The sequence below is a fragment of the Homo sapiens genome, chromosome 8 (assembly GCF_000001405.40).
Source record: "Homo sapiens chromosome 8, GRCh38.p14 Primary Assembly".
Lineage (NCBI taxonomy): Eukaryota > Metazoa > Chordata > Mammalia > Primates > Hominidae > Homo > Homo sapiens.
The window spans coordinates 128233682-128243212 of NC_000008.11; the positions used below are offsets into that span (position 1 = coordinate 128233682).

At 40.3% G+C, this 9531-nt stretch overlaps 1 annotated feature.

Annotated features, from left to right (window-relative positions):
* Positions 7081–7130: an enhancer, noted in NCBI's record as "active region_27960". NCBI's record gives its function as "activates an Ori minimal core promoter by ATAC-STARR-seq in GM12878 lymphoblastoid cells {active_cell/tissue: GM12878}" and the evidence as "EXISTENCE:reporter gene assay evidence [ECO:0000049][PMID:35858748]".

Genomic DNA, 9531 nt, shown 5'->3' on the forward strand with positions numbered 1-9531 from the left:
TTTAAACTTTTGAAGATTCAAAGGCCTTTACTCTTCTGTTACTATTACTCTTCTCTGAATCACCTGATGCTACTATGTCTGAATGCCAGAATGAGAGAAGATGAGAGAGAGTCTAGAAACATCGGGAAATATCAGGAAGACTACATTACTTAATATATATCATTTCACAAATGAGCATTCAATGTATGTCCAAAACCCTGCACATTGGTTGTAGTCCCCTCAACATCCTACAAAGTCTACTCCCTTTTACATTTGGGAAACATGAGTCCCACTGAGATCCGAGAAAACCTTGTTTGAGTACTGCATTTGGGTATTTGAACAGATTTGATTTAATGCACTAGTAGAGAACGAGACAGAAATGTACTTAAGCAAAGGGGACCTGAAGGACCTACTCTGATAAACACCCTAAGAAGACTCTGACTTAAGCTCAGATAAGATTTCCAAGTTCTTCAGGAATTCTTTTACTGCAATTGGCTCAGCAACTGAATGAAGAGACTTGATAAGTTCTCACCTTTGCATGCACACATCACTTCTGTGGGGTATGGTGAAAACAGCATGGACGTTGGCTGGGAACCACCTCATTGTCATCTTGGTTCTACCCCTGAAACTCGGAACCTCAGTATGCTCAACTTGAATCTGTGGGTAAGCATATCTATCTGGCAGAGCTATGGGGAGGCTATGGAGAAATTACTGGGGAGGGGAAAGCATGTTTATTCGAGGATATGCTTCCAGTTTGCCCTCAAGGAAGGTATTGGTTGTCAGAGTGTGGCCCATTCAGGGTGAACTCTCTTTCTCACATCTTGCCACCATGTGTAAGCAGACCAGGTCTTCATCTAGCAACTGGTCACATCACCTCTATTTCTCAGTCTGTCCCTATGTGGGAGAGGCAATTGGGCATTCTTGTCTAGGTAAAGGGATGGATGAGTGGGCTCAGCGACTGCCACAGATAACTGACCATTCTAGAGCATGGTGTTATCTTCACTTCAGACCTCAGGCTTGGTTATACACTCACTATGCTGAGCTACCAAGCTTAGCTGAGTAATCCTGCTCTCTTTTGGGAGGAGTGGTGATAGTGATGTGCTTGTGCATCTAGTAACAAGACTCTGACTTTGTTTCCTATTATTCATCTTATGTGGAGGAAATACTCCTGGAAAGAAGAACAGATAAGTAGATGAAATGCCTACAATAATATGTCTGAAAGAACTTTCCATGTGGTAGGTGATGTTAATAGCTGACAGATCTTGGACATTTATTTCTGAAAGCACTTTGAAGATATTAACTTACTTAATCTTCACACAACTCTATAAGGTGGAGACTCTTATTGTCCTATTCTACAGATGAGGAAATAAAGCACAGAGAGGTCAAATAACTTGCTCAAATTTATACAGGTGCTAAGTGGCAGAGCTGGGGTTTGAATCTGGGGAGTCCTGAGACTTTGATCTTAATGGTCATGCTGTTCTTAACACGAATATACCCTGATCATGTTAGTTGCTTTTCAAATTAGTCTTTCTCTTGGTTTGCATTGTGTGTCTTTTTGCCTGGTGTAGACTCAATGAAATTCAGCCCCTAAACTGGGTGGAGGTCTGGGAGATGGGCAGGATAATTATATTTGAAGGGGATGAAACATGAGAAGGAAGTCTAAAACTGACAAGTAAAGATCAGAAGGTTTGAGGTAACCTTCCTTCCAAGATTATAAGTACAGGGCTCCAGTTCAGCCACCCTACACAGCAAAGACCACCCTGACCTCCCAGTGAGAAGGACAAAGGCTGACTCTGGAAGCTGCATGGCTGTCCCTGAGAAATGGGACTTCACAGATTTGACGTGAGGTAATCTGTAGAGTAGTGGAGAGCCTGCTGGTGGGACAATCTGCAGAGGCTGAGATGTTGAGTGAAAACTAAACTGGCAGTTTGAAAGATTCTGTGAAGAAGATTTACTAAAATGGAAATAATAATAATAATAATAATAATACTTTGTCATCTTTTTCTCTTGCTTTATGAACAAGTTTTCTACCAGACTGAGTAGAAGAGAGAGGGTTAGGCCACCATGGGGTTTAGATGTTTGGATGTCTTCTTTCTGACTTTTTGAGATAATAGCTGCTTGGAAATTGGAAAAGTTTAAAGTAAGCTGCCCACTGACTTTTGGTTCAAAATGGCAGCTGGCTGGGGCCTTCCAAAGCTGAACCTCACAGTTTTTCTTATTAAAACTGTTAAAACTGTGGGTGAGAAAGAAAATGAAGACCAACAGTACAGCCTAATGATAGAATCTGGAACGATTCATAGTAATGACAGGGTAGATGGATCTGGATTGAGAAAGACCTACGTTGGCTCCAGAATGTGGCATACTCTTACTTTCCTTCGTGAGAAAAATTCCCCTGAGAAAGCAAGAAGAGGCTTTGCTTTTGCCCACTCCCTGAACCTAGACTCAGCTCTAAGCTTTGCATCAATTGGAAATGAAGCAATCACTTATTTCCCTTCCTGAGGTGCTGGTCTCTTAAACATTATTATTTATCTTTCCTCAGCTCCCTTTTTCCCATTTCCCCCAAACCAGCCAGATTCTGCAAATCACAGCAAATTGCTGGGCACGAATTGGGACAATTAAAGTGACCACAGGGCGGCAAGAAATCATGACAAAGCTCTGGAGACAGCTGCCAAGACATGAAGACTTGGGACACTGGGACTAGCTCTGCATGCCGGGCATTGGGCTGGTCCCATCTTGCATTATCTCTAAGTACCAGGAGCTGGGCTGAGGGCTGAGGAAGGGGTACCATAGTCAAGGCAAGAGCATCACAGGTGAAAGCTGGTTATTGAGTAAGAGGTAGACTGGATTCTGAACACAAATCATGGATTTGAGATGAGAATTTGACCAAGAAGGCAACGCACAGCGCAAATCACTCTTCTTGGCATTAATACATACTGACAAATTGACCTTGTCCTGTCCGAGGATGAGTAAAACAAACAATATTATCAGCAACAACAACACCAAGAGGCTGGTGAAAAATGATGCAAAAAAAAAAAAAAAAAAGGTATGTGTGTTGAGGGGTGAGTGGGAAGGGAATAACTTCAGGAAGGCAGAGCAATCTTGAAAATGATTTTCCATAAAATCTAGATGATTATTTTAGACAACTGCGCAGCATGTTCAGAAACTGCATGAAGTCTTGGTCTCTCTGAAATGGAAGCAGAAGTCTGAAGGCAAGATCTGGAGGGAAATAAAGGCAAAACATGGCTTATATCAGGGAATAGTGATGGGATAAAGTAAGAAGAATATGCATCAATGGCTGGAATTAAACTCATGTGAGAGGCAAAAAGAGGCAGTATTGTTGCTCCCTAAAAGTGTATCACTGCTGTGGAGAACATAGTTGAGAAAATCTTACAGAATTGAGAGAACAGGGGACAAAGTGTGTAAAGAATGAAAAAAAACAATGATCCCTGAGCTAAAACAAAGCAAACTCATGGTAGACAGAAAGAGCTGACCCCAACTTAGGAAAACTCAAGGATAAGAGCCTCCCATCTATGTAGCTTGGTGAAACTTCCAGCCTACTGAGACTAACACAAAACCCTGTAAATATCCAGACATAAAACTATGGGTAGTTTCTGAAGATAAAAATTAGCCTGGCCTTAGTCTTCTTCCTAGCACACTAAATGCCAGAAGACAATTTGGCAGCATCTATAGAGTTTGACGAAGAAAAGGATATGCACCAAGAATATTACGTATATATTCCAGTTAGCATTCACATACACAGGGAAGAGAATGATATCACTGGATATGCAAAAGAGACAAAATATATTATCTGTAAACTGATTCTATAAACTCTCCTTGCACATTTTTTAAGACATACTGCAGACTGAGTAATAAAACACAATTAAGGACTCTGAACAAGATGGTTACCATATAGAAGGACTAGCAATAAGCAGTGATAACAATTAAAGAAGAGATAAGTCTAGTTGTCACTATTATGACTCTAAAACTGAAATAAAGCCTGAAATCCGTTCAGCACACAGAACATTTATAATGTTTAAAAGAATGTCACAATAACAATCCGGGTCCCAAGACTTCAAAGAATTATTGACAAGACTGGGAAATACACAAAATGGAATGTGGAGGAGAAAAATAAAGTGCTGAACTCATGTGTTATAGAAGACCTAAGTATTTTTATATTTGTAATGTGTTTATATATTTTATTTTTCTCCAGGTCTATCTATACAGATTTTTTATTTATTATTTCTTTTTTTTTTCTTTTCTTTTTTTTTTTTTTGAGATGGAGTCTCACTTTGTCACCCAGGCTGGAATGCAGTGGCATGATCTTGGCTCACTGCAACATCTGCCTCCCTGGGTCAAGCAATTCTCCTGTCTCATCCTCCAAAGTGGCTGGGATTATAAGTGTGTGCCACCATGCCTGACTAATTTTTATATTTTTAGTAGAGACAGAGTCTCATCATGTTGGCCAGGCTGGTCTCAAACTTTTGACTTTAAGTGATCTGCCTGCCTCAGCCTCCCAAAGTGCTGGGATTACAGGCATGAGCCACCGTGCCTGACTCCTGTATTTTTAATTTTTTGAACACAAGTTAGTACGTACTTGGCTAATAAAGAAACAGTGGAAGGTGAAAAACACAATAACTTACATGAAATAAAACACCCAAAGGTGAATTTGGTCTGAAAATTTGAAAATCTACCGATATTAGACTACCTTATAGTCTCTAAGGAGCCATTTTTGTTTGGTTTTTGGTTTTGTGTCTTTGGGAAAATGGCACAGAGGGAAGTTGGGGGTCTGTGGGGAATTCCAAGGTGGCTACTGTTCTGGCCATGGTGTGATTTCACTGTTTCACATTTTCTAGGGTAAAGGAGGGAAGAAGAGAAGTCTCAAGAGATGGATTTAAGGTTCTCCATGGTTTTGCAAAGCTCCGAGAGTGTGATGACCTTTATGTGACCCAAGAATGCTCCCACGGAATACAGGATTCCAAAAAAAAAAAAAGAGGATTCATTTATAGTAGAGAAGTGGGGTCTCCCTACTCCCCATTTTCTATGGAGCAAAGGAGTATATGTGCGACCTCAGTATTATTAGTCTATCTTTCTTGGCCTCTGCCTCCTTGCCTGGAAAGTGCAGATAATAATCTTATCTCAAATGTCCTTTAGAAGATTTAATTGAATCATGCACACAAAGCATCTAACATAGCAAGAGAAATGGTAGGTGCTTAACTGATGCTTCACCTTTACTTTCACAGCACTGTGAGATTTCTGTCAATGTAAATCTTGAGGGAAAGATGAGGGATCAATTGCCAATGGGATGGTTATTTGGAGGTTCCTGGTGTGTCTCTGAAAAGAAGGGGAGGGGGCCACAAAGGAGAGAAAGAATAATGCTACGGGAGGGATGCTAGGATCTGACTTCTGTGCATTGCCCAACAACCATGTAGTTGGTCGATTTTCCCACCCTTGCACAATCTCTTGGCACAACAATTCCACATTGTTTAGGAAATATGTTGGGAGAAAAATCCTTCCTCACTTACATTTGTAATGTGAAGGGCTAGTGCTCTTGGTTTTAATAACTATAAAACATATCTTTCTTTCTTTAGGAAAGAAAGATTGCTCTCAGTTATCCATTTTGAACACAGAATGGTGAGCAAATCAGGCTATTTATGGATACCTCTTCATTTGGTTGCATAAGATGAATGCTTCTTGGGAAGGCTGTACTTCCCTAATTCAGGTTCTTGTAGTCTAGAAAGGGAAATTCTCTTGATGAATCATTGACCAAGGCCAAGGATTGGCCAATTTTGATTTTTCAAAACCCAGTCTCTGGTATCATATTCTTTAGGAAGTCTTCCTGGATCCCCCAATATGCTGGGTTATTTAATATCAACTCAGCATTATCCTCTCCTTCCTTTTATGTTCTTCCCTGCATGAGAGAAGCTAGCCTTGGACCACATTTTCTAGATTTTTGCCAGGAGGGTTCAGGGTTGGATTCTTCTAAGAAGAAGTGTTGGTGTGGTATTTTGAAGGCAAAAGAGAAGAAGTTCTTATTCTCAGCAGCAGCCATCAGGGAGTAGGTGTCAATAGATGCAGAAAGTTTCCATTAGTTTCCTTCCGTGCATCTTCTTGAGAATTTTCCAGTTCTGCACAGCTTCCTGGATTCTAGCTTTTCCAGATTTCCTGACCAACGTGACTCCAATTCATCCCACAGTTGTTTAAGCTTTTAATTTCCTGTATTAAGTTCCTTTCTGCCTCAACTATGCACGGTGTCCTGTCTTCCTATCTAGACTTTGAAACTCCAGATTGAGTTAAACGTTCTGTTCTTAACATTATTTTAGCATCTTTTTCTTGTTATTGCTTAAATCCATAGCTTGCATCCATAGGCTGTGGAGTAAAGCAGAAACTTTCACAGTTTCTTCAGCTGCCAAGGGTTGTCAAAGGCTCTTAAAAATTTGGCCAGGTGCAGTGGCTCGTGCCTGTAATCCCAGCACTTTGGGAGGCTGAGGCAAGCAGATAACGAGGTCAGGAGATCGAGACCATCCTGGCTAACACGGAGAAACCCCGTCTCTGCTAAAAATGCAAAAAATCAGCCGAGTGTGGTGGCAGGCATCTGTAGTTCCAGCTACTCGGGAGGCTGTGGCAGAAGAATGGCGTGAACTTGGGAAGCAGAGCTTGCAGTGAGCCGAGATTGGGCCGCTGCACTCCAGCCTGGGCGACAGAGCGAGACTCCATCTCAAAAAAAAAAAAAAAAAAAAAAAGAAAAGAAAAAAATTGAAAAAGCCCTTACAGCAAACCAAGAACCTGTGCAGCTGACACATATTGGGCACTTTCAGGAACACTAGCAGCATGAACACAGTGACTGAAGATTGAAACTAAGGAAACTAATAGTAGTAAAGTCAGGGACTCTGATGAGTCATTTCAGTATCACAAGGTTAACCACTCCAATGTATTGTGACTCCTGGAGTCACTGGCTTTTTTACTATGCTTAAGATGTAACAAACTTATCTACCAGTTGAAAACCAGTTACATTTCTCCACTGCCTGCCACATAACATCAATCACTATTATAAAGAAGGATGGAAGGAATTTAGTAAAAGGTGGTCCCCAGACTGTTAGAACTGCAGAGTATATGCTCCTCCTTCTTTTAGTCATTCTTGCAATTGTACACCACTTCATCTTGGAGATCCGGAAAAGAAAATAGGATGTGTAAATCATCTCTTGACAAAATAGCAAACACATTGTAAATCAGAGGTTGGCCATTGTCTTTATCTTTTTTTCTTTCTTTCTTTCTTTCTTTCTTTCTTTCTTTCTTTCTTTCTTTCTTTCTTTCTTTCTTTCTCTCTTTCTTTCTTCTTTCTTTCTTTCTTTCTTTCTTTCTTTCTTTCTTTCTTTCTTTCTTTCTTTCTTTCCTTCCTTTCTTTCTTTCTTCCCCTTCCTTCCTTCCTTCCTTCCCTTCCCTTTCCTTCCTTCCTTTCTTTCATTCTTTCTTTCCTTCTTTTTTGATAAAGACAGAAATAGTAAATATTTTCATCTTTACTGGATACTGAGCCACTGTCCTTCCTGCTCCACTCTGCCATTATAGAGAAAACAGTCATAGATAATATGTAAATGAATGAATGAGGCTGTATTCCAATAAAACTTTATTGACAAAAACAATGGATGGGTCAGAGTGACATTTGGCCCATGGGCTGTAGTTCCTCATCCTCTGTCCCAAAGTAGATCAACTTGGCAAAGCTATTTTCTTCTAATCTGAGGAATACTCTGCCCTCATTTATTTTTGTTCCTTGGCCTTAGAAGATAGTCCTGATAAAGGGGACAGATGATGTGAAAACTAAAAAAAAAAAAAAAAAAAAAAAACTATTAGGCAAAAGTGTACAGATGGAGGAGAAAGTTAATATTTATTCAACTACTGCTGTACTTCTAACAGATTTTACAATGACTAGCTTAAGACAGACAGACCCTCTCCTTCCTCCTGCATGATGGTTCAAAAAGCAGAGGTTGGCCAGCATAGACACAGCATATCCTTAACTATAAAAACCTGCTTAAGAGAAGCACTCACATAGATTCTGCCCCCAAAGCACTCTTCTCTATGAAGCTCTTCTCATGGTGGTGGTTTGGTTGTGTATGAGGTGACCATTGCAGAGTGAAGTGAAGAATAAGCAATAATGCAAACAGTGATGACAAAGAGAAGTGAAAATGCAGCAAAGCATAAACTTGCATCTGACATTTTCTACTACATTTCATCTCTCTGCAAATACACTTTGTATGGAGCACTGTGGGGGGATAAAGAGATGTAGAGTGGCTCTTTCAGAGCCTGGTATAGATTTGATGCTCAATAAATGTGAATGAAGAATGGAAGAATGAATAAATTCATGCATAAATGGATAGATGGATGGGTGGACTGATAAGGAAGACATGTTCAGGATAGCTGGATTACAATCTGGTGTCTGCCACAAAACTGTCTATGCAACCCTAAGCAAATCATGTCACTTCCATGGGCTTAAATTTCTTTGGGGGATTGAGGTGTTTAGGCTGAATGTTTTCTAAGATCCCTTTAATCTCTGAGTTTTAAATTCGGTATCTTAATTGGTAGTGGGCAAGAGAAGGGACTCTCCCTCCTACCAGTCTTCACTGTGCCTGACTCCACCCTCTGGTGCAGTGTTCAAACAGGTGTATTACAAGATCCTCCTTGCAGCGATGCCTATCTCCACCCAGAATTACAACTCTGACTCTATTCTCACCACCTGTTCTCTTTAATGTGGATGAAGACCTCCTGCTTCTGGTTATTCAGGATTCTCGTAAGCTCCTCTTTCACAAAGGCTGAGCATCTGAGCACAAGAACCTAACTTGAGGAGTGTGCACAGCCTGCCTGATTGGAACCACTCTCCTGCAGAACCAGTGGTCCATTCCATCCCTTTGTACATGGATTGTAGGTTCCTTCTCCTCTACTCCAGCTTTCACTCCCTCTCACGGCTTTTCTCTTGTCTTGAAGATAATTTTAAAAAATCTTATTACTAGTACAAAACACATTTTTTGTAGAAAAAATAGAAAGTCAAACAAAAATTAGGTATATTTATTTGTAAAATGATAATCCAATGCAATTTACTATCAACTCATTGCTGTATATCCTTTTGGATATTTTTTCATGCATACTGTAACCTGATTTTTTTCTTTTCTTTATTTTCCTCCTCCCTCCTTCCTTCCTTCCCTTCCCTTCCCTTTCCTTCCTTCCTGCCTTTCTTCTTTCCCTCCCTCCCTCCCTCTCTCCCTCCCTCCCTCCTTCCTTCCTTCCTTCCTTCTTCCTTCCTTTCAGTTTTAAGTTCAATAGTCTTAAATATACCCACACCATTGTGCAACCAATTTCCAGAACTCTTTTTATCTTGCAAAACTGAAACTCTGTGCTTATTATGTGATAACTCCCTATTTCCTCCTCCTCCCAGGCCCTGGCAACCGCCATTCTACTTTCTGTCTCTATGAATTTGACTACTCTAGGTGTCTTATATACTTAGATTCATACAGCACTTGTTTTTTGTAACTGCCTTATTTCACTTTTGCATAATATCCTCAGTGT